Source organism: Homo sapiens, chromosome 14 (genome assembly GCF_000001405.40).
Source record: "Homo sapiens chromosome 14, GRCh38.p14 Primary Assembly".
In the NCBI taxonomy this organism is placed as follows: Eukaryota; Metazoa; Chordata; class Mammalia; order Primates; family Hominidae; genus Homo; species Homo sapiens.
The window spans coordinates 100,142,455-100,169,930 of record NC_000014.9 but is presented as its reverse complement, the minus strand read 5'-3'; the positions used below and the strand labels follow the sequence as shown (position 1 = coordinate 100,169,930).

Sequence of the window (27,476 nt, the reverse complement as noted above, 5' to 3'; positions counted from 1 at the left end):
CCTCCCGCCTCGGCCTCTCAAAGTGCTGGGATTACAGGTGTGAGCCACCTCACCCGGCCCAAATTAAATTTCAACTGGAGGTCCACGGGGTCCCATTTTATTGAGCAAATCTGTAAGCACTTAACTTTAATTGTAAAGTAAGTACTTTAATTGTAAAGTAAGTGCTTAAAATTTAAAATTAAAGACTTACTTTAATTTTATTATTCATTGTGTTAGAGCATCTATACCCAGTGTGTGATATTTTAAGGCAACGGGTACTATAACTACAGGAAATTTAGGCAGGGCTGCCATTACACTTAGGCATATCTATTTTCCCTCTATTTTATATTAAGTTACCTCCATATTATAAGGGGGGTACAATGTTTAAATTGAGTTGGGGGCCAGGTGCACTGGCTCATATAGTATCAGTGCTTTATAGGTATCATATAATCTCAGTGCTTTGGGAGGCTGAGTCAGGAGAATTGCTTGAGGCCAGGAGTTTGAGACCAGCCTGGATGACATAATGAGATCCAATCTCTACAAAATAAATAAATAAATAAACAAAATAAATAAAATAAAATAAAATTAGCCTAGCTGTGGTGGTGCATACCTGTAGTCCTAGCTGCTTGGGAGGCTGAAGTGGAAGGATCACTTGAGTCCAAGAGTTTAAGGCTGCAATGAGCTATGATCATGCCACTACACCGTAGCCTGGGCAACAGAGTGAGACTTCATCTCGAAAAAATTGAAACACTAACAAATAAATAAATAAAATAAATTTAATAGGACCTTCAGGTATAACTATAATTTGAACCACAGTATAGATTAAGTCCATGAAGATTTGTTAATCGGTGCATTTTAGCAAATGCTAAAGTTAACTTACAGCCTATTTTGTTTAGAGGCACAAAAGCCAGTCAGTGCCCTTTTAATCCTTTTATGTGAATCCTTTTGGTATATGCATTTTGTCATATATTTGTTATATATATCATTTGTCATATACATTTTTACATACACATTTTGGATTTCTAATTGGGTTGAATTATGGACACTTGTTTTAATTTATATAATACATAATCTATTTATTGTATATTTTATAAGTATATTTATATATATAATTTATTGGCTCCTCTTTTCTCCCTCTCCTATATCTAGGGTGTTTTTGTCCTTCTTCTCCACCCCCTTTTGTTCCCTTTTAGGCTTTTGGCCACCTCAAGTTTTTGGGTTTTGTCTCAGGCTGATAAGAGGAAGTGGTGGCGGCAGGGGTATGTGTTGGGGGTGGGTGTGGGTGTGTGTTGGGGGCAGGGGTGTGTGTGTGTTGAGGGCAGGGGTGTGTGTGTGTTGGGGGCAGGGGTGTGTGTGTGTTGGGGGCAAGGGTGTGTGTGTGTTGAGGGCAGGGGTGTGTGTGTTAGTGCAGGGGTGTGTGGGTGTGGGCATGTGTTGGGTGTGTGTGTTGAGGGTTGGGGGTGTGCGTGTGTTGGGGTGTGTGTGTTGGGGGCAGGGGTGCATGTGTGTTGGGGTGGGTGTGGGTGTGTGTTGGGTGTGTGTGTTGAGGGTTGGGGGGTGTGTGTGTTGGGGTGCGTGTGTTGGGGGCAGTGGTATGTGTTGGGGTGTGTGTGTTGGGGCGGGGCTGTGTGTGTTGGGGTTGTGTGTGTTGGGATGTGTGTGTTGGGGTGTGTGTGTTGGGGCGGGGCTGTGTGTGTTGGGGTTGTGTGTGTTGGGATGTGTGTGTATTGGGATGTGTGTGTGTTGGGGGCAGGGGTGTGTGGGTGTGTTGGGGTGGGGGTGTGTGTGTTGGGGGAGCGGTGTGTGTGTTGGGGGTGGGGGTATGTGTGTGTTGGGGGTGCGTGTGTGTTGGGGGCGGGGGTGTGTGTTAGGGGCGAGGGAGTGTGTGTGTTGGGGGGTGTGTGTGTTGAGCGTGTGTGTGTTGGGGGCAGGGTTGTCTGTGTTGGGGTGGGGGTGTGTGTGTTGGGGCGGGTGTGTGTGAGTGTTGGGGTGGGTGTGTATGTTGGGGCGGGTGTGTGTGTGTTGGGGCAGGTGTGTGTGTGTTGGGGTGAGTGTGTGTGTGTGTTGGGGGTGTATGTGTTGGGGCAGGTGTGTGTGTGTTGGGGTGTGTGTGTGTTGGTGTGTGTGTGTGTTGGGGCATGTGTGTCTGTGGTTGGGGTGGGGTGTGTGTGTGTGTTGGGGCATGTGTGTGTGTGTTGGGGCGGGTGTGTGTTGGGGTGTGTGTTGGGGCGGGTGTGTGTGTGTTGGGACGGTTGTGTGTGTGTTGGGATGGGTGTGTGTGTGTTGGGGCAGGTGTGTGTGTTGGGGTGGGTGTGTGTGTTGGGGCATGTGTGTGTGGGTTGGGGCATGTGTGTGTGTGTGTGTGGGGGTGGGGGTGTTGTGTGTTGGGTGTGTGTGTGTTGGGGCATGTGTGTGTTGGGGCGGGGGTGTGTGTGTTGGGGGCATGTGTGTGTGTGTTGGGGTGGGGGTGTGTTTGGGTGGGGGTGTGTGTGTTGGGCAGGTGTGTGTTGGGGCGGGTGTGTGTGTGTGGGGGCGTGTGTGTGTGTGTTGGGGGCCTGTGGGGGGGCGGGGTGTGTGTTGGGGATGTGTGTGTGTTGGGGGTGTGTGTGTGTTGGGGTGTGTGTGTGTGTGTGTGTTGGGGGCCTGTAGGGGGTGGGGTGTGTGTTGGGGGTGTGTGTATGTGTTGGGGGTGTGTGTGTGTTGGGGCGGGTGTGTGTGTTGGAGCGGGTGGGTGTGTGGGAGCGGGTGTGTGTGTGGGGGAGACTGCCCTGTCTGCAGCCAGTGTTTGCCTCCCCCTTTCCTTTTTCTTTTTGTTCTTTTTTTTTGTTTTTTTGAGACGGAGTCTCGCTCTGTCACCCAGGCTGGAGCGCAGTGGCGCGATCTCGGCTCACTGCAACCTCTGCCTCCCGGGTTCACGCCATTCTCCTAACTCAGTAGCTGGGACCACAGGCGCCCGCCACCACGCCCAGCTAATTTTTTGTATTTTTAGTAGAGACGGGGTTTTCACCGTGTTAGCCAGGATGGTCTTGATCTCCTGACCTCGTGATCCGCCCTCCCGCCTCGGCATCTCAAAGTGCTGGGATTACAGGCGTGAGCCACGGCGCCCGGACTTCCTTCTTTTTTAAGCAAAGCCTGTTAGAATGGCTTGGATCTCGAGGTGGGTAACATTTTTCCTTTTGATTTCTGTTCCCCATTCTGTCTTTCCGGTGTTTATCAGATAAAGTCCTGCTGACCCCTCATGGCCCTGTCTTTAGGTGGCGTCTTACCCGACCTCCGAGGGCTCTGCAGCCGCTGCGGGAGAATGACCCTGTCGGTATTTTTGAGGCTGCTTTGAGCGCGGCCCCCTGGTAAGCTCGTGCTCAGGGAGACCCACGCGGCATCACCGGAGCATTTCATGCTCCCGAATCCACTGGCGACCTCCTCCGGGGTCTCAGGAAGGGCAGGGATAGAGTGCTCTGTTCTTCTATGAAACATTGTGCCCCTGGTCCTGAGGGTAGGGCGCCTCCTGCCCACTAGGTCCCTGTGGGGGCGGGGGTCCTCACACTGAGCTCCTGAGAGTGAAGAGCAGCCTCCCCCACAGCCCCGGGCAGGCTCCCCCCACAGCCCCGGGCAGGCTCCCCCACAGCCCCGGGCAGGCTCCCCCACAGCCCCGGGCAGGCTCCCCCCACTCCCCCAGACAGGCTCCCCCCACTCCCCCGGACAGGCTCCCCCCACTCTCCTGGATGGGCTTCCCCCACTCCCCCAGAGAGGTTACCCCGACTGCCCCAGACAGGCTCCCCCCACTCCCCCAGACAGGCTCCCCCCACTCCCCGAGACAGGCTCCCCCGACCCTCCCGGGCAGGCTACCCCCACTCTCCCGGGCAGGCTCCCCCAACTCCCCCAGACAGGCTCCCCCCACTCTCCCGGGCAGGCTCCCCCCACTCCCCCAGACAGGCTCCCCCCACTCTCCCGGGCAGGCTCCCCCTACTCCCCCAGACAGGCTCCCCCCACTCTCCCAGGCAGGCTCCCCTGACTCTCCGGGCAGGCTCCCCCCACCCCACTTCAGGGGGCCTCCTTCGCCCCGCAGCCTCCCCCTACTCTTTGATGCAGTCTCCCCCAATTCCCCCAGGCAGCCTGAAAAGCCCCCCAAACAGCAGCTCTGTTTGCCCCCACTTAGCAGGGCCGCCTGCGGGGCACCCCCAAACACTAGGAGGAAGTCCCTCCCGTGGCTCCCTTTGGAGGAGCCTTGGGGAACCTGGCCAGCCAGCCCGGAAGGAGGCAGGCACAGCTCAGATCAGAGCTCAGAGGACCCAGGTCCTGAGTTCGGAGCGGAGAGGCGTCCACAGCAGCAGCACCAGGCGGCGCAGGCGGGGGCACCGCCCGTCCGCGGCCGCCCGGTGGAACCAGTTACCGAGAGCAGCGCAGTGGCGCCTCACTCCACCCTGCTAGCTGCGCCCACTGCTTGAAATGCAGGCAGGTGTAGTGAGGCCCACAAATCAGGGGATGTTGCCGTTGAAAAGATGGTTTGTCACTCACAGTTCTCAAGAGCAGGGGCTGCGCCACACGGCGCGGGTCGGGGACACACGGGCGAACGCTGGGGTCTGCTGAAGTCAGGGGGAGGAGAGGGAAACGTGAGCAAGAGCCTTTATTGGGGTTTCTGTGGGAAGAAACAGTCAAGGCAGGGTGAGCAGGCTTTGGACTGGCTGGTTTGAGTAATTTCAGGGCTCTGGGACAGAGGGGCTGTCCGGAGTTGTCTGATACCTGGCCCTGGTGTGATCAGGGCAGGGGAATATTGGCCCTGAGTGTGAGAGACAGAGGAGGTAGTGGGCTGTGGGCTGTGAGGTGGTCACTGGCATCTGAGAAGGAATCTCTAGTCCTAGGAGGGGCAGCCTCTCTAGGGTCAGCTAGGCCCCAGGACACAGAAAATAAAAGCATCAGACACAGAAAATAAAAATGTTCTGTGGGTGGCAGTAATTCATTTTTTATTACCACCCACCATTGCAGTGTAAGGAGATAGCATAAGCGGCTTATCCATTCTTCGTTTTTTGTTGTTGTTGGACATTGGAGTTACCTCCAGCTTTGGCTTTTACTAATAAAGCTGCCAGGACTATTCTCGCACATGTATTTGGTGGCCACACATGTTCACTACTCCTGGGTATAGACCCTGGCATGCGCAGCTTTCATAGATATTACTGAAGAGTTTTCCAAAGTGATTAAGCCAAATTTTAATGTTGTTGGCACCCTTAAGCCTTTCGGTCTGAAGACTCATGCCTTCCTTCTGTCATTCATTCAGCAAATCACTGTTTTATTATTACTATTATTATTATTAGTTTTTGAGACGGAGTTTCGCTCTTGTTGCCCAGGCTGGAGTGCAGTGGCACGATCTTGGCTCACTGCAACCCCTGCCTCCCTGGTACAAGTGATTCTCCTGCCTCAGCCTCCTGAGTAGCTGGGATTACAGGTGCCCGCCACCATGCCCAGCTAATTTTTTGTATTTTTAGTAGAGACGGGGTTGCAGCATGTTGGCCAGGCTGGTTTTGAACTCCTGGCCTCAAGCAATCCACCCGCCTCGGCCTCCCAATGTGCTAGGATCACAGGGGTGAGTCACCACGCCCAGCCCAGCAAATCATTATTAACAGCAACTCCTTTGCCAGAAAATGTTCTAGGCATTGGTGATACCAGGGGTGATCCCCAGAGAACAGGGCATTCTAGAGGAGGCCCTGTTACGATAGACAAGGACGGCTGGGCGCGGGGGCTCACCCCTGGAATCCCAGCACTTTGGGAGGCCGAGGCAGGAAGAGTGCTTGAGCCCAGGAGTTCCAGACCAGCCTGGGGAACATGGAGGCTCAAGCCATCCTCCTACATCGCGCCTGGGACCACAGGCGCGAGCCACCACACCTGGCTAATTTTTGTATTTTTTGTGGAGACAGGGTTTTGCCATGTTGTCCCGGCTGGTCTCAAACTCCGGGGCTTAAGTTAATCTGCCTACCTCAGCCTTCCAAAGTGTTGGGATTATGGGCGGGCATGAGCCACCTCGCCGGGCCACAAAACCCGGTCTCTGCAAAAAAAACCCCAAAAGAACAAAAATAAGCTGGGTGTGGTGGGCGCACCTATAGTCCCAGCTACTCAGGAGGCTGAGGTAGGAGGATCACCTGAGCCCGGGAGGCAGAGGTTGCAGTGAGCTGAGACTGCACCACTGCACTTCACCTGGATGACAGAGTGAGATCCTATCTTTAAAAAGTAATAATAAAATAAACAAGTAAATAAGTACCTGCTATAATAATTTACTTCCTGTAGGGATAACCCCTAATTACATATAATTAAATTGTAATTACAATTTCAGTGGGATGACTTCTATGAAGGAAACAAGGCTGGGTAGGGACCAGTGTTGCCTCTTCTCCATCCTTTCCTAGCAGTCTGGCTATGAGGCCGCTTGGATCCTGAAACTGTCCTCATGTCTCGATTCCTCCACGGGCTCCGTTTCAATAGAGGGGTGTGGTTTTTATTTTTTTATTTTTATTTTATTTTTTGAGATGGAGTTCGGCTCTTGTCTCCCAGGCTGGAGTGCAGTAGCGAAATCTCAGCTCACCGCAACCTCTGCCTCCTGGATTCAAGCGATTCTCCTGCCTCGGCCTCCCAACTAGCTGGGATTTACAGGCGTGTGCCACCACGCCTGGCTAATTTTTGTATTTTTAGTAGAGACAGGGTTTCATCATGTTGGCCAGGCTGGTTTCAAGTCCTGACCTCAGATAATCCACCCGCCTCGGCATCCCAAAGTGCTGGGATTACAGGCGTGAGCCACCTCGCCCGGCTCGGGTGTGGTTTTTAAATGAGCACTTTTTAAATGTCTATCTCTAGCTCAGTCTTGGGGGCACTGCTCTCACTCCTCCATCGAGTCTGCTTTCCTCAACATCTGTTTGTCAGGCTCTGCTCCTTCTTGGGTCGGTTGCCCTTTCATTCTGTGGCTTTCCTCCGACGTGTGCTGTCTCTGGGTCATGGGCTGTCTGACTCCTTGCTGGCTCCTGGGAGGTGTGGGAGGGGCAGTGTGAAATGTCTTCTGGCCTGTTTTCTGCAAACACGAGGCAGTGGAGGCCTTTTTGCATGGGGCAGCTAATACTGTCATTGAGGCTTTTGGGTGGAGGCCCATCCTGCTCCTGGCACAGCACTCCGGCCAGGGGGCTTACAATCAGGGCCCTCTTGAGAGGTAACCAGCACCCCACCCCTGCTGCTGCCTGGCCCAGGGGAAATGGGGGTGTGGAGGGAGGCCAAGGGGCCACTGAAGAGTAGCTGGCCGTGGTGGGCTCCCTCTCAGTTTCCAGTCCAAAGAGTCCCTGCTTTCCAATGCTGTGTGCGCGTGTGTGTGTGTACACTCCCAAACTTTATATTTAAAAGAAACTATATTTTGGCTGAGCGCGGTGGCTCATGCCTGTGATCCCAGCACTTTGGGAGGCCAAGGTGGGTGGATTCCTTGAGTCCAGGAGTTCAAGACCAGCCTGGTGATCTGCCTGCCTCGACTTCCCAAAGTGCTGGGATTACAGGTGTGAGCCACTGCACCTGGCCTAATAAACTTCATTTTATTTTATTATTTATTTATTTATTTTATTTATTTTTATTTATTTATTTTTGAGACGGAGTCTTGCTCTGTTGCCCAGGCTCTGGAGTGCAGTGGCGCAAACTCGGCTCACTGCAAGCTCCGCCTCCCGGGTTCATGCCATTCTGCCTCAGCCTCCCGAGTAGCTGGGACTACAGGTGCCCGCCACCATGCCCAGCTAATTTTTTTTGTATTTTTAGTAGAGACGGGGTTTCACTGTGTTAGCCAGGATAGTCTCGATCTCCTGACCTCGTGATCCACCTGCCTCGGCCTCCCAAAGTGCTGGGATTACAGGTGTGAGCCACCGTGCCCGGCCTATTTATATTTTTTGAGATGCAGTCTCGCTCTGTCGCCCAGGCTGGAGTGCAATGGTGCAATCTCAGCTCACTGCAACCTCTGCCTCCCAGGTTCAAGCAATTCTCCTGCCTCGATTACAGGTGCCTGCCACCACGCCCAGCTAATTTTTGTATTTTTAGTAGAGACGGGATTTCACTATGTTGGCCAGACTGGTCTCGAACTCCTGAGCTCAGGTGATCTGCCTACCTCAGCCTCCCAAAGTGCTGGGATTACAGGCGTGAGCCACCATGCCCGGCCATAAACTTTATTTTTCAGAACAGCTTTATATTTACAGAAAAACTGTGATGATAGTTTAGAAAGTTCACATATATGCCACACCCAGTTTCCTTTATTTTAATATCTTATAATATGGTGCATTTGTTGCCTTTGATGGACCAATATTGATACACTATGATTAACTATGGTCCAGCTTTACTAGGCTTTCCTTAGCTTTACCTAATGTCCTTTTTCTGCTCCAGGATCCCATTCAAGACACCACATTACAAACGAAAATGTATTTTCTGTCATTTCTGGGACAACGGACAGGGTGGGGACGCAACAGTATGTGCTCCTGGCTCGTCAACACCGTGAAGCTGGGTTTCTGGCTCCCCAGGGACTTGGGGAGCACTTGGCAAGGGCATCAGACTTGATTTCATGCATCCTGGGTGTCTGTTCCACTCCCAGGTCTTCTTCAGCATGTCCTCTGACTTGTCCCCTCTCTGGCCTCAGTTTCCTCATCTGGAAAATGAGGGCCTTGGTGAGTTTCCTCTGGATAGGCGGTGGCCTGGGGCAGAGGGAACTGGCAGGCTTGGTGTTGTCCTGAGGGTGGAGCTGGGGCTCAGGGCGGCAGATCTCACGGAGTTCAACACAGGGGCGAAGGCTCTGATTTTGGAAGCTTTTTAATTCAAAGGTCAGGGGCCAAAGTCATGCCCCAGCCTTGCTGTTAATTCCTCTGTGCCTCAGGCAAGGCGCTCCTCATCTCTGGGCCTCAGTCTCCTGATCTGTAAAGTGATGGCTGGTGGGATGACTTCTGAGGACCCTTCTGGCTGGGAACAGAGCAGGCTGCCCTGGGAGCAATGAGTCTTCTCCCAAGGGTGCAAGCTGGGCCGGGAGGCCTCCTGGGTGTGGCAAGGGGTGATGGCCATGGTGGCATGTGGGTCCCCCTGCTGATGGAAAATCTGGCCTCTGTGTCCACCTTTCCCATGGCTAATTCAGGGGATGGTGGCTGGCGGCTGCAGGACACCCATGCCTTCCTTCCTGGCTCACTCAGGACTGCCTTTGGCCCTGAGCTAAGGAAGGCCTGCCAAGTGTACCAAACCCCGGGCCATGGACTTCCATGGGACGCACAGAAGCACGCCCTCACTATGTGCGAGCCTGTGGCAGCGCTGGCTGATGTGTCAGTCAGCTCCCAGGCAACTGCCAGCCGAGGCCAGGCTCTGGCCCACAGGCACAGCAGGTCCACCCTCCAAAACTCCAAGGGAGTGGGAGAAGGAACAGAGGCATCACTGAGAGGGTGAAGATGAGGGGCCCTGTGCCCTTACCTCCCCAAAACTAGACTTTCCATTTGAGAACATTCAGGTTCTGCCTTGTTTCCAAGCGTTTGCATCTGCTGTTCCCCCTAGCACCAATGCCTTTCCCTTTTCTAGCTGTTGAACTCCTACCCACCCCTCAAGGCCCAATGCAAAAGTTCCTTCTATTGGATCCTAGCTGCTTCAGGGCCTACCTGTGTCATGGCACGTATCACCCTGAATCATAACAGCCACTTCTGTACCTGTGTCCCCATCCAGAACTCAAGTTCCCTGAAGGCAGGAGTGGGTCTGACTCATCCCTGTGAGGTTGCTGCAGACGCATTATCTCCCCTTTGCATTATTGGTGAAAGGGCCGGGTGGAGGAAGGGAGGATTGCTGCACCAACCTTTCCTCGGCGCCTGTTTACTGGCACCGTCGCATCCATTCCACGCCGATCCTCCGCAGTCCCCCTATCCTGCCAGCCGCTCCTCCTTGGGGCAGGGGCGGCGCGAGCCACAGGGGCGTGCCCGCGAGCGGGTCGGGGCTGCGGAGAGAACGGGCCGGGGTAAAAACCCGACGGCTGCCCGCGGGTGGGCGGGGCGCGCAGAGCCGGTGGGAGGCCGCGGTGGCAGCAGTCGCCCCCGCGCATCGAGGGACCCAGGGACTCGCGCAGATGGCACGCGGCCACCTCGGTCCTGCCGGGGAGCCCCATTTCCAACCGAGGCAACTGAGGTTCCCAAAGCGCCAGCTACCCGCCGGGGTCTGGAGAGCGCCGGGGCCCGGCCGCCCCGCCCAGCCAGAGGTGCCCCGCCCCAAGCCTGGCGCACCTGGCCCCGCCCCGCCGGGACCCCGCCCCCGCCCTAATCAGAGCTGGTTCCGCGCCGCGGCCGCCGCGACAGGTGCAGCAGAGCCGAGCCGGCCGCGCTCCGAACGGCGCCTCCCGCCCCACCATGGGCAACAGCGCGAGCCGCAGCGACTTCGAGTGGGTCTACACCGACCAGCCGCACACGCAGCGGCGCAAGGAGATACTGGGTGAGCGCCGCGCGGGGCCCACCCCGGTGGGGACCGCCCCGTTGGCCCGTCTGGAGTCGCGTCGTGGGGTCGAGCCCAGACGGGCCGCTCCAGCTCTGGCCCAAATTCCAGTGGGCGTTCCGCCATTGCCGCTCCCCTCCCTGGGGTCCCCGGCCGGCTCCCCGAGGGTCCCCCACCCTGGCCGGGTCTGAAACTCCCTGGGACCTGAGGATTCCGAGGACCCCAGTACGGGTCCGAGCGCCAGGGAGCGCGTCCCAGCTGTTCCTCGCGAGCCACTCCCGGGGCCAGGGCCGGGGCTCTGGGATGCTGGGACGCGAGGGCGCAGGGGCGGCCCCGGGACGCGCTACGAGGCGCACGCGCTCCCTGGCGCGGAGGCAGCTTGCGCGACGCGGGGCCTCCACCCGCAGTCACTGGGCGCCTGCTGCGCTCAGAGCCCCTGGGTCTCGCGGCCACGGGCGCCCCAGGCTGGAGTTCAGGGCGGATGAGCGCCGGGAAGGGAGCAAACGCGAATGAGAGGCGCGCGTGTTTTCTTTGAAAAAAGCAAAGATTGTACTAAAGAATCCTTCTATTCTGGCATGTCGCTTATTACGTGGTGGCTGTTTTCCTTGTTGCTTCGTGTCCTCTGCGAGGAGGGCATCTTTACCCACTCGGAGTCACTCTCGTTCATGCCAGAGGCCCCATCCCACCCACAAGCAAGGTGGCCCCGGTGAGTCGTCCTTGGCCCGGGCTTACGGGGTTAAAGGGCCTGCGTCTGGAGAGTGGCTTTTGCCAGATGCCACCAAATCGCCACAGGCTGAGACAGGCCCGCCCCTCCCGCCCTGCCTAAGTCAGCACCGCGCGTTGCCACACTTTGTAATCTTCAGTCAGATTGGGGAAACAATACCATTTCACTGTGGCTTTAATTTGCACTTATTTGATGGAGGTTTCACATTTTAATCGGGCGTTTTATTTAATTTAATTAATTTATTTATTTAGAGACAGAGTCTCGCGATCTCGGCTCACTGCGACCCCCGCCTCCCAGGTTCAAGCGATTCTCCTGCCTCAGCCTTCTGAGTAGCTGGGATTACAGGCACCTGCCACCACACCCGGCTAATTTTTGTATTTGTAGTGAGATGGAGTTTCACCATGTTGGCTAGGCGCGATCTTAGCTCACTGCAACCTCTCCCCACTGGGCTCAACTGATCCTCCTACCTCAGCCTCCTGAGTAGTTGAGACTGCAGGTGTGTACCACTATGCCCGGCTATTTTTTTTGTATTTTTACTAGAAACAGGGTCTTGCCATGTTGCCCAGGCTGGTCTCAAACTTCCGAGCTCGAGGGATCCACCCATCTCAGCCTCCCAAAGTGTTGGGACTACAGGCATGGGCCATGAGCCACCACGCCTGGCCTGAACAACTTTTTTTTTTTTTTTTTTTTTTTTTGAGAGGAAGTCTTGCTCTGTCGCCCAGACCGGAGTGCAGTGATGCGATCTCCACTCACCGCAACCTCCGCCTCCCAGGTTCAAGCGATTCTCCTGCCTCAGCCTTCTGAGTAGCTGGGATTACAGGCACCCGCCACCACACCCGGCTAATTTTGTATTTGTAGTAGAGATGGGGTTTCACCATGTTGGCTAGGCTGGTCTCAAACTCCTGACCTCAGGTGATTCACCCGCCTCTGCCTCCCAAACTGTTGGGATTACAGGTGTGAGCCACTGCGCCCAGCCAACTTTTTCTTTCTTCCTCTTTTTTTAATCCCATGGCAGCATACTGAGATACCATGACTTTTAAATGTTTGAAACCCAAGATACATTGGGTGGCTAGCCTGTGACTGCATCCCGGGGTAACTGGGGCCTCAGGAGCTGGAAGCCTCTATGTGGGTTTGTGACTGCTGTGGTTTCTCCTGGGAGGTGAGCTGCAGCCCAGCATCGTCTGGTCCCAGCAGTGGTAGCTGCCTCCCGTATGCTGTGGAACTCCTGGGGAGGGCTGGGAGGAACCTTGGGGGTCATCTGACCCTCCCTCCCTGCTCATCATGTGAACAGGGCAGGTGTCCTGGCTACTGCCCCTCAGCAGGTCTGAGGTGGGGCTGAGGCTGGAGCAGGGGCCTCCTTGGCCCTGTTTGCATTTCTGTCCCCTCCCCTGGCTATCCCCAGCTTCACTTCACAGGACTCATTGGGTATCTGGCACCATGTGGAAAAGGCAAGAGGCACATGGCAGCCAGTGTCCTGGTCCCTAGGAGCTCATATCCATAGAATAGGAGCTGGGCCTACCTCAGGGCCACCTGGAGGGATCCAGACACTCTGGGCTGTGGCCTCACTTTCCCAATCTGCAAAACGGGCAGTCGTCCTACCAGGCAGAGTAGGTGTGAGGATGAGATGATATCTCAGCTGGGAAGGTGCCCGAGGTGGTACCTGGCCCTCCAGGACGTGGGGAAGGAGCTCTCTCTAAAGAGGGAAGCCACAGGCCCTGGAACCAATCCAGGAGGCTTTCTGGAGGTGGTGGCTAGGAAGGTTGAAAGACTTGGAAAAGGGAGAGGCACCTGGGGCCAGGGCTTGGGGAGCACAAGTCCTCAGGGCGGGCCCTCCAGCTTGGTCCACGCTCCCTTTCCTGCAGGGCGGAAGCAGGGGCTTCCTTTCCACCTGTTGTTTTCAGCTAATAAATTTGGAATGTGCCATTCCCTCCCTCCCCGGCACAAGCTGTTCCCCCAGGTGAATGTCCCTCCTCCCTGCTCTGCCAGGCTCTGTCTTGCTTAGCCTTGCTCGCTCAGTTCAGTCCCACCTCCTGCAGAAAGCCCCTCCACTGCTCCCAGACCTGGCCCAGCTGGATGGGGACCCCTCCTCTGGGTTCCCCTCCATGGCTCCAAGCCCTCTGGGCTCTGGGCTCTTTGGGGCACAGTTCAAGAGCTTGGCTGTGGAGCTGAACCCCTGGCAAGGACCCTGACACCCACTTATTAGCCACGGGTGAGTCTGTAAACAGATGAAGGAGTTGGGGCCTGGGCAAATGAAAAGGGGTTAATAAATCATACCTTCCTAATGGGGCTGCTGTGCAGATTAAACGAGGTGATATGTAAAGTGCTTATTCCAGGACTCGATGAGTATCAGCTGCGATGATAATGATTAATGTCTCAGAGACCTGGCAAGGGCTGTCGTTTCCCTAAGGACAGGGAATACTCTCTGCTTCCTCCATGCCTATGCTATTCCCAGGCCTTGGAGAAATGCTCTGTGTAACTGCCAGCATCTCTTTATAGAAGAGGCAGGAGTGAGGCTGAGAGAGGGGAAGCAACTTGCCGGGGAACACACAGGCCAGGCTGGTGCTCAGGCAGCCTCCTGCCCCACCCAGCTGGCTCCTGCAGCCTATGCCAAGCTCCTGGGTGCCCAGGGATGTTCAATAAAGATCATAATCTGACAGTCAGAATCCAGGAAGTCCTTGCAAAGAGCTGGCTCCAGGAGCTCTGTGGGTTGGGGCCAAAGTCCATCTCCAGCTCCTGCCGGGGAGGGGGACATGCTCCCTAGAACATAACTTCCTAAGAAAGTGGGGTCTCCTAGGCCAGGGCTGAGGCTCCCTGACCTGAAAGGGCAGGACCGGAGCCAGCGAGACTGGCCCCATCAGAGACCCAGCCAGGCGTGGCCGGTGGAGTAAGAGGCAAGCTCTGGGTTTGTTTTTTTTTTGAAAATGAATAGCTTTGTAATTTTGTTTGTTTTTAAATTATGAAAGCAGGGCACACATGGTAATACAAAAATTCAAATAAAGAAAAACAAAAGAGGAAATCCCGGAAGCGAAACTGCTGGCTGTTGCTGGATTATTTGCTTCAGAAAGGCCGGGGCTGAGGCTCTGTCAGTGGTAACTGGTAAAATCCAGGACCAAACTGCCAGAGCCACAAGGGGATCCTGGGGCTCCATCTCCCAGCCACAGAGCTGCCCGGCTGCAGGGTAAACCCATCTCTGTAACGTACGGGGGCCTGGCTGCTCCCAGATCTTCAGTATATATTTGTCACTGGAAATGAAAGGCAGGTTTAGTGAGCGGCTGGTGAGAAGCTGGACACTTGCCACACTTTCCAGATCCAACTAGGTCCCAGGGTGCCTCCCACACTGGACAGGGTCAGGCTTGTCTCTTGGCACAAAACCTCAGGTGGCAGGGATGGAAGCTGTGGGTAGGTGGCTTCCCAGAGCATTAGGCCAGGGCTGGGAGGAAGAAGTTTAGGAAGGAGGGGATTAGGAGGGCTTTGCTGCCTTTGTGAGGAGAAGCTTGTCCCAGGTCAGGTTACTCAGCTGTGGATGGGTGGGGAAGAGGCCACGTTGTATGGAAGCATTTCCTGCTGTGGCCACCAGGTGGCATCGTCAACCCTGAGCAGGTTTGTGGTGGAACAGGGAGCTGGGAAGCAGGTGGCGGCAGAGGTGGAATGTTGGAGGGATGATGGGCAGTGACGGGCACCTCCCATGTGGCCAGTGAGTGACTGTCATATGATGGCATTTGGCCTCCCTGGGAAGGTGATACAGCAGGTCTCCCTAGATGTTGCCAGAGCCAGGGCTTGGGGGCTCACTGGGGCCCAGTGTGGAAGAGATAAGAGGCCCCTTTGCTTTTGGGAGCCCTGCTGGGGACAAGACAAAAGTGACTTTATTGCCAGCTAGTCAGGAGGGGCAGGGGTGGAGTGGCCTGTGACTGGGAGTAGGGGTGTGGCGTGGGGGGGCCCTGTCTCTGCTACTCTTGGAGGCAAGGGTACAGCAGCCTCTCTGGCCTGGCTGCCTGTTTCTGATGCGGTCCCTCTGCTCAATGGCTCAGCAGATTTGTCAGGAGCATTTCTGGGCAAAGGCTGTAACCCATCAGAGTCGCACCAGGGTGATGCAACTGTCCTGTGGGTGCAGGGGGCTTTGGGCTGGCCTCCCTTCAGCAGGCCCTGCCTCTGGCTCTGCCCTCTGGCATTTTATGAGTGAGCCTGCTAACTGGTATAAGTGTGCAGACGTTTCACACCTTGGCATCTGCTGCCCCTTCTTCTCCATAGGCCCCTAGGGAAGACCCCACCTCCATGGGCTCCCAGCCACAGAGGCTGTCAGAGCAGATGCCTTACAGATGGAGACTGAGGAGACAGGTCCAGAGAGGGACAGGGGCTTGCCCAAGGGCACACAGGAGTCTGACTGAGCCTGATCCATGATTTTTTCTTTCTTTTTTTTTTTTTTTTTGAGACGCTTTGTTGCCAGGCTGGAGTCCAGTGGTGTGATTTTGGCTCACTGCAACCTCTGCCTCCCAGGTTCAAGCAATTCTCCTGCCTCAGCCTCCTAAGTAGCTGGAACTACAGGCGCACGCCACCTTGTCCAGCTGATTTTTGTATTTTTAGTAGAGACGGGGTTTCACCATGTTGGCCAGGCTGGTTTTGAACTCCTGACCTCAAGTGATCTGCCCGTCTCAGCCTCCCAAAGTGCTGGGATTACAGGTGTGAGCCACTGCGCCCAGATCTGATCCAGAATTTTCTCTGGGTGCTCTGTGGCAGTGTAGCCAAGCACTAGATCGGTGCTGATGGAGTCTGAGTCCACATCGGGGCCTTGCTCACCATTGTGCAGGCCTGGAGTCGGGGGTCCTGAGTTCAAGTCTTGGCTCGGTCAGCCTTGTTGCACCTTGGTGGGCCCTTCTTTGCACCTCCCTTGACCTCAGACCCTTCCTGAGTCCTGCCTGGACAGGGTGACTTCTAGCAACAGCTGTTGTTCATGGCCACCTGCCCAGATGCCTTGTGCCTCACCTGGGGCCGCTGCTGGAAACCGTCTGTGTGGGTCTGTGTATCTTGGTTCCAGGTGGCTGTGCACGTCGGGCTCTGTGCTGCCCCACGGAGCAGAGAGCCCTCAAGGCACATGTGTCTCCCAGCTACTCCTGCCATCCAGGCTGGAGGTGTGGAAGGGCAGAGTCACACCTGAGGTCAGCTGAGTGCCCACAGCAGGACAGAGTTCCCAGGCTGGGCCAGGTTTGGGTGTCTAGCCAGAGCCCATGCAGGCCTGCAATTCCTCATGGGGCTGCCAGGGAGCTGTGTCTCTCCCTGTCCTTCTCTGCCTTGGGCTTTCCCCCTCTCTTGTGGCCCAGAGAAGATGGGGCCCAAGGCCATGGAACCCATTGACTCCCACTCCCCAGCCCCACCCATTCTCCCTGTCCCCCTTTCTTTGAGGCCCTGGAAGAGGCCCTGTATTAGTGTTCTCCAGAGAGACAGAACTGATAGGATCTATGTATCTATCTCTCACATCTATTATCTATCTATCTATCTATCTATCTATCTATCTATCTATCTATCTATCTATCTGTTTTTGCCATTACTGTCGCCCAGGCTGGAGTGCAGTGGTGCAATTGCGGCTCACTGCAGCCCCGAACTCCTGGGCTCAAGCGATCTTCCCACCTCAGCCTCCCAAGTAGCTGGGACCACAGGCACACACCACCACACCTGGCTGATTTTTAAACTTTTTGCATAATAAGGCCTTGCTATATTGCCCAGGCTGATCCTGACCTCCTGGGCTCAAGGAAACCTCCTGCCTCAGCCTCCCAAAGTGCTGAGATTACAATGTAAGCCACCATGCCTGGATCAATCGATATATCGATCTATCTTCCTATCTTCCTTCCTTCCCTTTCCCTCCCTCCCTCCCTTCCTTCTTTCCTTCCATCCATCCATCCATCCATTCGAAGAGGGGATTTATTAGGGGAATTGGCTCATGTGATTATGGAGGCTGTAAAGTCCCATGACAGACTGTCTGCAAGCTGGAGACCCAGGGGTGGCAGTAGGGGTAGCGTGGTTCAGTCTGAGTCTGAGGGCCTCAGAACCAGGGAACTCGACGGTGGAACCCTCAGTATGATATTGAAGGCCTGAAAGCAGGCGGAGGGTGGAGGGTGCTGGTGTAGTTCCTGGAGTCCAAAGGCTGGAGTTTTGATATCCAAGGACTAGAGAAGTGTGTGTTGCAGCTCCAAGAGAGGGAAGTGGTGGGAGAAGTAGAGAAGGATGGGAGGAGAGAGGGAGGGAAAGACAGGAGGGAGACCCTTGTCTCTGCCTTTTTGTTCTATCGGGGCCCTAGCTGATTGGATGGTGCTGGCCCACATTGTGGGCGGGCCTTCCTCACTCAGTCCACTTACCCTCTGCCAGTCTGGAAACACCTTGACAGACACCCAGAAATAATGCTCCATAGCTCTCGAGGAGTTCCTGAGTCCCCTTGGCACCCAGCTCCAGTGACCCTTGCCTTCTCCATGATGCCCACCCTGGCATCTCCATGACGCCCACCCTGGCATCTCCATGACGCCCACCCTGGCATCTCCTTCCCATCCTGCCGTCCTCTGGTGCCTCCCTGTTGCCCTCCCTGCCCCATGCCCTAGGCAGACCCACCCTCGCTACCTCATCTCACCCTCGCCTTGCCTCGGGCTGTGCCGGAATGGCTCCTGCTGAGACACCATGACCTGGCTAAGTCGAGGGACACCTGCTCTCTCTTCTTGTCCCTGAACCTCTGTGACCCCTGGCAGCTGACCACCTCCAAGCCCTGGCTTCAGTTACTACTCCATCCTGACCGTACCCAGGGTGACCTCAGCCACGACCCTCTCCTGCACATCCAGTCTGCATGGCGTGGTCCCGAGTGTTCCTGGCACGTCCCCACTCCCACTCCCCCAGGGACCTGGGCGCTCTGGAGCTGAAGATGGTAGATCTTTGCAATCTTTGCAAAAAGCGTGGGTTGTTTTCTCCTGTCAAGGAGTCAGTCAACTGACCTTGGGTGGGTGCAGAGTAGACCCACTCCTAAGACAGGGCTTCCGGGGGGCCCACTGGAGGCTGGGGTGTTCAGTGAGGCCTTTCTGCCCAGTGGGTTGGGACTCCCAGCCTGTGCCACCTCTGGAACTCCTTGGGTGCAAAGCTCCAGCAGCTGCTGTTTTCAGAACTGTCATGGAGCTCCTGCTCCAGCAAAGCTTCTCTGGGCCTCAGGCCTTTGGCAGGAGCCCCCTGTACCTGCAGTGTGGGTGTCTCGGGCTCCCTGAGTGCCATTCTCTGCTCGTTCAGCTCCTTGGGGGTCCCTCAGCCACGTGCTGCAGTCCAGCAGGTGCCTGCAGGCAGGTGAGGTGACCTGGGGCTCCCTGCATCTGTTCCCTCCTTGAGTCGCGCCCTGTGCTGCCCATGCTCAGCTGCCTCGTGCACTGCTCAGTTTTTAGTTACTTCCAGTTGGTGGCTCCCAAGCCTGCAAGCTTTGGGCCTGCTCTTGTTGAAACAAGCCAGGGCCAGGCCATCGCCCCAAGACCAGCTTTTCCTCTTAGATCAGAGCACTTCCTTTAATGACAATAGTACCAGCTTGTGCCTACTGAGTGCTGGCACCCCCAGGGCTCAGACTAATGTGCTGGCCACTCCACAGCCTGACGGGCATAGAGGAATGGCGTCCCCATTTCCCAGATGGGAAGACGCAGGCTGGTGGGCCCCTGCTATTGGCCAGGTGATGGCTGGGGTTGGGCCCCTGAGGCTTGTTGGGACCCGCCTGCACTAGGCCTCTTGCCAGATGTGCCACACTGGAAACAGCCCAGAGTCCACTCAGAGGGGACTTAGGGGCATGCCTGTTGGATGGGCCAGCCCAGTGCCTGTTTCTGGGGTCCCAGTGGCTCCGGAGGCCCCAGCACACCCATGGGAGATAGGACCAGCCCATAGCTGGGGCCGGGTGAGGGGCTGGTAGGGTGGGCGCTGCTGTCCTTCTGTGTGCAGGTTTCTCCTCTCTCCAGTGGTCCACAGTGGGGCCCCTGAGGGAAGGCTGGGGCTTGGAGGGGCAGCTGAGTCCTAGGAGGTGCTGAGGAAAGCGGGAAGGGCACGGGGCTCCCTGAAAGGCGGCTGCACAGGGCACAGGGAGGGACCCTGAGGGCGCACCATGTAGGCAGAACTTAGCATCTTTGTTCAGCAGATGGGGAAAGTGAGGCCCATTCTCCAAGGTCAGGGCTGCCAGGCTCTGTCATGGCTCTCACCTCTGAGGGGTGCAGAAGTGGCTGATGCTTGCCTGCACCCAAAAGCTGGAGGCCTGGGCTGGCCCTCCCCAGAGCTGCCTGCTTGTGGCTCACCTGGCACAGGTGTGGCCTGCCCCTCCCTCTTGCCCCAAGGTTTGGTCTCTTTCCAAGGGGAAGCAGCGGCTGGTTGCCTGTGGAATGGGGGCGGGGCGGGGGGGGGTGTTGGGGTGGGAGTGGGGCTGGAGCTGGCCGGCCCCCAGGCGGATTGGCTACTGCCCTGGGGGCAGGGGCGTCCCTGGGTAAGAGGGAGGCAGTGGGCAGTGGTGCCTTCGGACCTGCGGTCTCAGCCTACATACAGACACACAAAGGGGACTTTGCATGCGACTTCCTTGGCCCTGCGCCTGGGCCAGAGCCTTCCTGAGTGGGAGCTGCCAGCAGGTCCTCCTTGCCCTGCCTGACAGGAGACATTGCTTCCCTGCCTGGGACCACTTTGCTGCGGGCGCTGGGTCCCCACCTCCTGGCTGAGGCTCCCCGTGTGCTTGAGTACACAGACGGCATCAAGGCACAGCCTCTGAATCGTCTTCGCTGGCCCAGACCTGCTGGGTGGGAACAAGCTGGGATGAGGCCTGGCTCGGGGAGCAGCAGGGCCCATCTGCCAGCGTGGGCCACATGTGCCCCTGCTGGAGTCCTGCCCTCTGAGTCTGGTGGGATGAGGCTCGGCCAGGGTGGGGGCCAGCGGGCCCTCGAGGGACAGGGCCTGTGTGCAGGGGCAAAGGGACCAGCGAGGTTTGCTGGCCACTCCCACCTTCTCACCCCTCGGCCACTGCAGTGGGAGCGGAGGAGGGCGGGGTGCAGCCCCACCGAGCGGGGCCTCATACCTCCCTGTCTTCCTTGCAGCCAAGTACCCGGCCATCAAGGCCCTGATGCGGCCAGACCCGCGCCTCAAGTGGGCGGTGCTGGTGCTGGTGCTGGTGCAGATGCTGGCCTGCTGGCTGGTGCGCGGGCTGGCCTGGCGCTGGCTGCTGTTCTGGGCCTACGCCTTTGGTGGCTGCGTGAACCACTCGCTGACGCTGGCCATCCACGACATCTCGCACAACGCGGCCTTCGGCACGGGCCGTGCGGCACGCAACCGCTGGCTGGCCGTGTTCGCCAACCTGCCCGTGGGTGTGCCCTACGCCGCCTCCTTCAAGAAGTACCACGTGGACCACCACCGCTACCTGGGCGGCGACGGGCTGGACGTGGACGTGCCCACGCGTCTGGAGGGCTGGTTCTTCTGCACACCCGCCCGCAAGCTGCTCTGGCTGGTGCTGCAGCCCTTCTTCTACTCACTACGGCCGCTCTGCGTCCACCCCAAGGCCGTGACCCGCATGGAGGTGCTCAACACGCTGGTGCAGCTGGCGGCCGACCTGGCCATCTTTGCCCTTTGGGGGCTCAAGCCCGTGGTCTACCTGCTGGCCAGCTCCTTCCTGGGCCTGGGCCTGCACCCCATCTCGGGCCACTTCGTGGCCGAGCACTACATGTTCCTCAAGGGCCACGAGACCTACTCCTACTATGGGCCTCTCAACTGGATCACCTTCAATGTGGGCTACCACGTGGAGCACCACGACTTCCCCAGCATCCCGGGCTACAACCTGCCGCTGGTATGTGGCTGGGCTGGCAGGGCTGCGGCGGGGCAGGGCTGCACAGCCATCGGAGGAGGTGGGGGCCCTGGAAGGGCCTTGGGCCATGCCCAGCAGCCTCTCCCTTTTTGTGCTAGTCATGGCATGGCCACTTGCACTTGTCCCCAGGGCAGGAGGAAAGGCCACACAACACAGGCGAGTCCTCTGCTGGAGGCTGAAGCAAATTCAGGGAGGTGGGGTCTGAGAGGCATTTCACAGTCCAGGCTGCTTGATGCCGCCATGATACTGACAGGGTGTCTTCCTTGAAGAGGGGCAGCATTAGCAACACTGCACGGGAAGCACCATCCTTCCCGTCTGCAGGCTCTTTCCCTGCTCATTCCTTGTCATTGCCCTGTGACCCTCCAGGGGCCAGAGAGGACAGGGTGGGCCTTGCCCTTCGCAGCCCAAGGGGCTTGGGCAGAGCTGATGGGGAGTGGAAGCCCCGGGTATGGGCATCTTTGCCTTAGGAGACTGGGAGCTGGAGAATTTCTGAATGAGAAAGGAGGAAGGGGAAGGGGGAGGAGGAGCCGTCCCTCAGCCATTGCCAGCCTGTGCCTTGGTAGCCTCTGGCTGCCTGGAAAGAGCTGGAGTTACCTGTGGCAAAGGGGGCGGGAGGAGGTGGCACTGGGGAGGTGTTCGAGCGCCTGAGCGCACGCCTCTGTGTGCACCGGGGTGTGCACGTGTCTGTGTGTGAGCATGTTTGCCCTGTGATTATGTGTGGGTGCCTGCCCACGTGCGCAGGCATTTGCATGTGTGCCTGGGCGTGCGCACACGCATCTGTGTGTGGTTATGTATTTACCTGGTTGTGCAGGTGTTTGTGCACACGTCCCTGTATGCGTGTGCACTGTGGCCCGTGTGACTCTGGAATCAGACCAAATTCCAAGCCTGGGCCGTGGCCTGTGCCCTCCATTCCGGCTGGCAGTACCAAGGCGGTGCTCTGCACCAGGGACCATCTCACTTGAACTTCACCACAGCCCAGGAGGCAGCTGCCTCCTCATCCATTATCCCTGTTGTATAGATAAGGCAGAGGCACGGGGGAGAGGTGCCCGCCTCAGGAGGTGACGGGGCGGAGGGGAGAGGTGCCCGCCTCAGGAGATGGCAGAGCAAGTTGGCAAGAGTGCCTGCCGTGAGCCATGAGCCTTTACCTTTCCTGAGCAAAGTGAGAGGCTCTGGGTGCCTGGTGCTGGCCCCGCTGTCCTGGTTTTGCGGCCAGGCTCCCTGCGTCCTGAGAGCATCCTTAGGAGGTGACAGGGCAAAGAGGGGGCAGGAAAGGCATCCTGGGGGGGGGGGGCAGGGAGGGCATCCCTGTGATGGGAGCTGGGCCAAGGCTGCATGCCGTTGAGCAGTGGGGCGGCGTGGTGGTGGCGCAGTTGCGGGCGCTGAAGCTGGGAGCACTTCCTGGAGGAAGTTGGTGGGGGTGTCTGTGTAGAGCAAAGGCTGGAGGGGACAGCAGGTGCTCAAGAGGCCCTTGGAACATGACAAGCAGTGAGGCTGGCTGAGGCCAAGGTTGGCGGATCACAGGGCTGAGATGCATGGGTGTGACACTGTGGCCTGGTAGGACTCAGGCGGGCACTCAGCACTGCGCAGGCGCTGCGGGAGAACTCCCCCGAGCAGTGGGGTCTGCCGGGTCAGAAGGCGGGGCCGAGTGGAGTGGTGCAATGAATTCTGCAACTACCACTTGGGGCAGGCGCTCTGAGCTGAGCCCGTGGGTGCCTCTGCCACAGCGTCCTGGGCGCAGTTCAGGCCACCAGGCCCTCCAGCAGCCAGCGCCACGCTTCCAGGCACCCAGGAAGTGGTGGTTGGCAGGGAGGACCAGAGGGGTGGCCTTGTGTTTGGCCAAGCTGGACATGGGCACCCCAGAGGCGACGGTGTGTTTGCATTATGTACACCCATGTGTGTGTGTGGGTGTGCGCGCGCGCAAACATGTTCGTACATGAATATGCATGTGCATGCCCACCGCGTGTGCTCAGGTGTCTGCGTGTGTGCTCGCGGGTGCGGCCCCGAGGAGAACCAGCCCCTGAGCCCCGCCCTCCTCTCTACAGGTGCGGAAGATCGCGCCCGAGTACTACGACCACCTGCCGCAGCACCACTCCTGGGTGAAGGTGCTCTGGGATTTTGTGTTTGAGGACTCCCTGGGGCCCTATGCCAGGGTGAAGCGGGTGTACAGGCTGGCAAAAGATGGTCTGTGAGCCCGGGCTGCCTCCTGGTGGTGGCCATTGTCCCCCATCGGCCCCTCAGCCTTGCACCCCAGCACTGAGAAGCTACATTTCCTTCCTGTGCTCTGGACTGCTGCCCTTGTCCCCGAGGAGTGTCCCGCGCAGCCACACCTGGCAACAGCAGTGTGGGCTGCAGGGCTCCGTCTGCACGTGGACTTGCCCTGGACCTTGAGTGTGGCCCTCCCTTTCTGGGCCTCCCCAGGTGAGGCCTGGCCCTGCCCCACCATGACCTGGGTGCTCTGAGCCCACGGTTCCCACGGAGCTGACTTCTCCGGGGTGCCTGTGCCCTACATTAAACCCGGCGTTTGTTTCACAGCCCATGGATTGTGCTTCTGAGGGGGTGGTCTGGGCTTGAGCCTGGCCCCAGGGAATGGGGCGCTGGGCCGCCCCGATGAGTGGAGCTTGAGGCCTGAGTGCCGCTTCGTCCAGGCCAGGCCCAGGTCCTGCCATGCACTCCTGGCTCTTTGTGGGACGGTGGCTGCTGCTGGCAGTGCTCCCTCAGGGCCTGCCACTGTGGTGTGCACACACACTGAGGTGTGGACAGCAGAAAGCTCACTTTGGTCATCTGTGTGGCTCCAAATCCCTCCTAGCAGCCCGGGGATCCCACGGCTCCCTTGCCTGGCTGAGCCACGCAGAGGCTGGCTCCCCCATCCCCCTGAGCCCACACCACCTGCCTTGCCCCCACCCCTTGGGCCTGCTCACCTCCTGCTCTCTGTATGCCCTCCCGCGGCAGGGAGCGTCCCTGAGCCCAGAGAGGGTCTATCCCCCACACCAGCTCGGAGGAGGGGCTGGAGGAGCTCTGCCCAGATCTGGCACCCAAGCCCGGGGGCTGGCCGGGCAGGTGACTGTCCTGGTGAGCCACAGCTCAGATGGGATGCGGGTCGGGCAGCGTCCTGGGAGTGTGCGTGACGTGAGACGTGTCGGTCCTTTCTACAGAAGGGCTGAGGGTGCAGCTGCGACCTAGGAGGTTGTCTTCTCCTGGAGGGCAGGGCTGGGTTGGGTCCTGATGTCCCAGAGGTGGGCAGGCAGCAGGAGGGGTGCCTGAGCGAGGAGGCCCTCCCTGCCAGAGAGGGATGGAGCGGGCCCACTGCAATCCAGCAGTGGATGCAGCTCCCACCACTGCCTTGGGGAAGGCGGCCTCAGCCTCCAGGACTTAGGAATGGAGACTGAGGCTACAGTCAGGGCTTGAAGGCCTCTCCATGAGTGGGGTGCCAGGGGCTGTCCCTGCTGACCTGGGAGATGCAGGTCTCCCCCTATACCTGGGAGTGGCCCCGCACAGCGCCGGCCTCCCATGTCCGAGTGGGCAGCCTGCTGAGTGGCGCAGGGAAGAGGCCTGAGCCCAGGACTTGTTCTGCAAAGGAAGTGCTGCTGGCCCCGGCACCAGGACTTTGAGCCGGGCGGCCCCTCCCTGTGCACACAGGCCCGCCCACAGGCTGAGGGGAACCCAGAGCACCCGCTCCTCCTGCTGTGCCTGAGGGGGTGCCTCGTTCAGCACACTTTTCTGCAGACAGCGCAAAGGGGCATGTCCAGGCCTCACCCACAAACTGAAGGCCAGGCCCAGGGTCAGAGGGTGGCTCCGAAGACAGACAGTCCTTTGAGCGCTCCTGGGGAGACTCCTGGCCTTGGGGGGAGCCCTCCTGGCCTGGGGGGCGGCAGGGAAGCGGGAGAGAGCAGCTCTGAGCTGTGGTCTGCAGGCCCTGGGTTAAAAGTGCCACCAGACCTAGGTGAAGCCTAGGCGAAGCCACTCAGAGAGTGGAGCCTCCTAAGGGGCAGAGCAGTCATATTCCTGTTGCTAGGGCTGCCGGGAAGCCCAACAACGTGCAGTGTGCTAGGAGCCGGCCCTTGAGATCAGCCACTGGGTCCCAGCAGGCAGTGCCGGCTCCCTCCCCTGCCATGGCCCTTGGGGGCTGCTGGGCACACTGCTCTGTGGCTGCAGGAGGTCATGTGGGAGAACTGGGGGCATGAGTGGTCACAGGATCTCAAGGCCTGCCTGTTGGTGGCCCTGGTTCCTTGAAGCTGAGGGTCAGAACCTCTGTCTCTGGCTGCTGCCTCAGGGCAGGGGCCTGGGACAGCCCATTGCAGGCCAGGTGGTCCTCCCAGGAGACTTTGTGGGGCCGAGGAGAAGGCAAAGCTGCCTTGCATTTGCCTGGTGCCTGCTAAGCCCCAAGTCCATCCCTCCCCTGAACAGGACGCTCGCAGGGCCCTGCCCGTCAGAATGCACGTGGAGTCCTCTGAGGTTCGGGGGTGTGGGTTGCACTTGAGGGACCATCTTCCTGGAGATCCCGTAGGGAGTTCCCTACAGGCAGGACCTGAGGCCCAGCCCCAGGACACCACCCCACCTTCCCGGGGCTTGGGAATGTTCTGAGCCCAGCTTCCTGTCGAAGACCGCCATCTTGCTCCTACGACTCCTGGTCACCGTGGTCCCGGGCCCTTCTCTGAAAAGGGGCATCCCCAGCCCGGAGCGTGATGGACCAATGCGAGGGCCTGAGCCCGAGGGTGCGGACAGTAAACCGTTTATTACTGTGTGGACACAGACACCGTGGTGCATGACAGACAGTTTCAACACCATGAGCGCTGGGGACGGAGCTGTGCCTGGACAGCTCTGCGGTGTGTGGTGGCGCCACGCTGGGCCGGCTGTCACCGCCAGCTGAGGCGCTAACAGCGTCACCTGGGAGAAAACCTGGAAACCGTCTAATGAAGCAGGTGACTTAGGGGCGTCTCTAGAAACCCAAAGAAATGTACCTTAAATAAGCAAATATAAAACACAAAAAAGACGAGCAGACCTGGTGTTCCGTGTCAGGCAGAATCTAAAAAAACCCAGGAGTTGCACTTGGTTTCCTCACTGTCATGTGTGATCACAGGTCAGGACGTTTCACAGCAGCGCGCCCAGGCTCCTGTGCGTGCTCTGGTGCACTGGAGTCTGGGGCTGGCTGGGCTTCTGGCTGTCCTCTGTCGCCGGATGGGCTCGACGAATCAGCGCAGCGAGGCCGGCCCCTTACGTGGTGCTGATCCCACTCAGCTCCTGCCTGATGGCTGCGGGACAGGTGGCGGCGGCTCAGGTGCAGCCATGACCAGTGCAGCCCGGTTCCTCATCAGGGCCCCGCACCCCTGGCGTGGACCTGCCTGGTATGTGTCCCTGTTCCATCTCCTGGGAGCCCCACCCAGGCTTTGGCATAGACCTCTGGGGTGATGACCAAAGGCTTTGGGTCTCATCTGCCATTCCTTCTGCGGCGGCCCCTGCTGCCACTGCCCTTTTAGGGGAGGACCTGGCGTAGGGACAGAGGCCTGTGCCCTGCCTGTGGCCTCACTGCTGCTGAGGAGTGCTGGGCACCAGAACTCTGGTGTGAGGAGCTGCTGTGTGGGGACGCAGGGTCTCTGTAGGCTCTGGACAGGTGGGTGTCCAGGTGCCGGGGGCCCGGGAGCCCTTCCCCCAACATAGTGGAGGCTGAGGCTCTGCCCTCCCAGCTCCTGCAGGGGTCAGCAGGAAATCTTGGCCCTGGACCCCAGGGACTGCCCTGGCTCTGCTCACTCCTCAGGAGAGGCAGGGTCCTCTCTTGCCTCCCCCCAGCTTCCTCATCACCCCAAGCTAGTGCTCCAACCCCCGGCCTCCCAAATTTGGGCCTTTCCCTCCTTCCTCTGGTATCCATCCCCTCCCGGACTCCCCCTCCTCTATGTCAACTCAGGCCTCTCTCTGGATGGACCTTGCTGGGCCAAGAGCCAACAGCCAGGAGAAGGTTGTGGGGGCTGGGGGATGGGAGCTGCTTCTCAGAGCCCCTGGTATGGCCCATGCCTACCCCCGGGCTCTCAGCCAGGGTGGGTTCCACCTGGGGCTGCACCCACAGCAGGTGGAGAGGCTGTGGTGGGCCCTGGGTTTCTGACCCAGCTATGCCTGGGGCCAGACGGCACCCAGCAGTAAGGCGGTGTGACCAGTTGGCTGAGTGCCTGCCTATCGCCCAGGCTGCCTCATTCCCCTCATTTGTTAACTCCTTATCTCCCCAGCCCAGGCCTTTGGGGGAACTGGACAAACAGGAACTGAGTGCTCTCTGCTCAAACAAGGGTGGGCCGGCTGGGGGAGGAGGCCTGGGTCTTTGGGCTCCCACCTGCCTCTTCCCTCTGCCATCAGCCTCCACCCCTGTGCGCTTGTGGGACCCTTTTGCCCCGGTCACTGTGATGCCCTGGGGGCCAGACCCAGCTACACACCCAGGTGTCAGCCTTTATCACCCTGGTTGGGGAGGCACGTGGGGAGCTGGCACTGGCTGTGCTGCATAGCTCGTCCCTA

General features: G+C 58.3%; 2 protein-coding genes and 1 long non-coding RNA gene across 11 annotated transcripts in view, besides 13 other annotated features; 1 reads left to right on the top strand and 2 right to left on the bottom strand.

The window, feature by feature from the left end:
• Positions 2,707–2,756: a silencer, noted in NCBI's record as "silent region_6075". NCBI's record gives its function as "represses an Ori minimal core promoter by ATAC-STARR-seq in GM12878 lymphoblastoid cells {active_cell/tissue: GM12878}" and the evidence as "EXISTENCE:reporter gene assay evidence [ECO:0000049][PMID:35858748]".
• Positions 2,860–3,359: an enhancer, noted in NCBI's record as "H3K4me1 hESC enhancer chr14:100632909-100633408 (GRCh37/hg19 assembly coordinates)". NCBI's record gives its function as "activates a minimal SCP1, AML or CMV promoter by ChIP-STARR-seq in naive H9 embryonic stem cells {active_cell/tissue: H9 hESC(naive)}" and the evidence as "EXISTENCE:reporter gene assay evidence [ECO:0000049][PMID:30033119]".
• DEGS2 (delta 4-desaturase, sphingolipid 2) lies at positions 3,045–25,974 on the top strand. Of its 2 annotated transcripts, XM_006720043.4 has the most exons (4): positions 3,045–3,136; positions 3,234–3,326; positions 20,221–20,963; positions 23,024–25,974. In XM_006720043.4, exons 3-4 carry the CDS (start codon positions 20,247–20,249, stop codon positions 23,168–23,170), a joined length of 864 nt encoding a protein of 287 aa, XP_006720106.1. In that variant the 5' UTR covers positions 3,045–3,136; positions 3,234–3,326; positions 20,221–20,246; the 3' UTR covers positions 23,171–25,974. The 2 variants fall into 2 exon arrangements, with proteins under 2 accessions (XP_006720106.1, NP_996801.2); NM_206918.3 differs by lacking the exons at positions 3,045–3,136; positions 3,234–3,326 and adding an exon at positions 10,286–10,425.
• Positions 3,360–3,861: an enhancer, noted in NCBI's record as "H3K4me1 hESC enhancer chr14:100632407-100632908 (GRCh37/hg19 assembly coordinates)". NCBI's record gives its function as "activates a minimal SCP1, AML or CMV promoter by ChIP-STARR-seq in naive H9 embryonic stem cells {active_cell/tissue: H9 hESC(naive)}" and the evidence as "EXISTENCE:reporter gene assay evidence [ECO:0000049][PMID:30033119]".
• On the bottom strand, positions 8,217–9,894 carry LOC124903380 (uncharacterized). Its single transcript, XR_007064330.1, has 2 exons — positions 9,800–9,894; positions 8,217–8,623 (listed from the first exon to the last, which is right to left on the bottom strand). It is a non-coding gene; the product is annotated as an uncharacterized LOC124903380 (long non-coding RNA).
• Positions 9,940–10,339: a silencer, noted in NCBI's record as "silent region_6074". NCBI's record gives its function as "represses an Ori minimal core promoter by ATAC-STARR-seq in GM12878 lymphoblastoid cells {active_cell/tissue: GM12878}" and the evidence as "EXISTENCE:reporter gene assay evidence [ECO:0000049][PMID:35858748]".
• Positions 10,440–10,499: a silencer, noted in NCBI's record as "silent region_6073". NCBI's record gives its function as "represses an Ori minimal core promoter by ATAC-STARR-seq in GM12878 lymphoblastoid cells {active_cell/tissue: GM12878}" and the evidence as "EXISTENCE:reporter gene assay evidence [ECO:0000049][PMID:35858748]".
• Positions 22,149–22,667: an enhancer, noted in NCBI's record as "H3K27ac-H3K4me1 hESC enhancer chr14:100613601-100614119 (GRCh37/hg19 assembly coordinates)". NCBI's record gives its function as "activates a minimal SCP1, AML or CMV promoter by ChIP-STARR-seq in naive H9 embryonic stem cells {active_cell/tissue: H9 hESC(naive)}" and the evidence as "EXISTENCE:reporter gene assay evidence [ECO:0000049][PMID:30033119]".
• Positions 22,377–22,426: an enhancer, noted in NCBI's record as "active region_9028". NCBI's record gives its function as "activates an Ori minimal core promoter by ATAC-STARR-seq in GM12878 lymphoblastoid cells {active_cell/tissue: GM12878}" and the evidence as "EXISTENCE:reporter gene assay evidence [ECO:0000049][PMID:35858748]".
• Positions 22,668–23,188: an enhancer, noted in NCBI's record as "H3K27ac-H3K4me1 hESC enhancer chr14:100613080-100613600 (GRCh37/hg19 assembly coordinates)". NCBI's record gives its function as "activates a minimal SCP1, AML or CMV promoter by ChIP-STARR-seq in naive H9 embryonic stem cells {active_cell/tissue: H9 hESC(naive)}" and the evidence as "EXISTENCE:reporter gene assay evidence [ECO:0000049][PMID:30033119]".
• Positions 22,707–22,776: an enhancer, noted in NCBI's record as "active region_9027". NCBI's record gives its function as "activates an Ori minimal core promoter by ATAC-STARR-seq in GM12878 lymphoblastoid cells {active_cell/tissue: GM12878}" and the evidence as "EXISTENCE:reporter gene assay evidence [ECO:0000049][PMID:35858748]".
• Positions 22,987–23,036: an enhancer, noted in NCBI's record as "active region_9026". NCBI's record gives its function as "activates an Ori minimal core promoter by ATAC-STARR-seq in GM12878 lymphoblastoid cells {active_cell/tissue: GM12878}" and the evidence as "EXISTENCE:reporter gene assay evidence [ECO:0000049][PMID:35858748]".
• Positions 23,927–23,996: an enhancer, noted in NCBI's record as "active region_9025". NCBI's record gives its function as "activates an Ori minimal core promoter by ATAC-STARR-seq in GM12878 lymphoblastoid cells {active_cell/tissue: GM12878}" and the evidence as "EXISTENCE:reporter gene assay evidence [ECO:0000049][PMID:35858748]".
• Positions 24,057–24,176: an enhancer, noted in NCBI's record as "active region_9024". NCBI's record gives its function as "activates an Ori minimal core promoter by ATAC-STARR-seq in GM12878 lymphoblastoid cells {active_cell/tissue: GM12878}" and the evidence as "EXISTENCE:reporter gene assay evidence [ECO:0000049][PMID:35858748]".
• Positions 24,745–25,245: an enhancer, noted in NCBI's record as "H3K4me1 hESC enhancer chr14:100611023-100611523 (GRCh37/hg19 assembly coordinates)". NCBI's record gives its function as "activates a minimal SCP1, AML or CMV promoter by ChIP-STARR-seq in primed H9 embryonic stem cells {active_cell/tissue: H9 hESC(primed)}" and the evidence as "EXISTENCE:reporter gene assay evidence [ECO:0000049][PMID:30033119]".
• The window catches only part of EVL (Enah/Vasp-like), a 172,815-nt gene continuing 171,033 nt past the window's right edge, over positions 25,695–27,476 (bottom strand). For all 8 annotated transcript variants that reach the window (NM_001330221.2, XM_047431464.1, XM_005267749.4 and 5 more), the window contains one exon: positions 25,695–26,230. In NM_001330221.2, the coding sequence (NP_001317150.1) occupies positions 26,193–26,230 (38 nt within the window). In that variant the 3' untranslated portion in view covers positions 25,695–26,192. The remainder of the gene's footprint in view (positions 26,231–27,476) is intronic.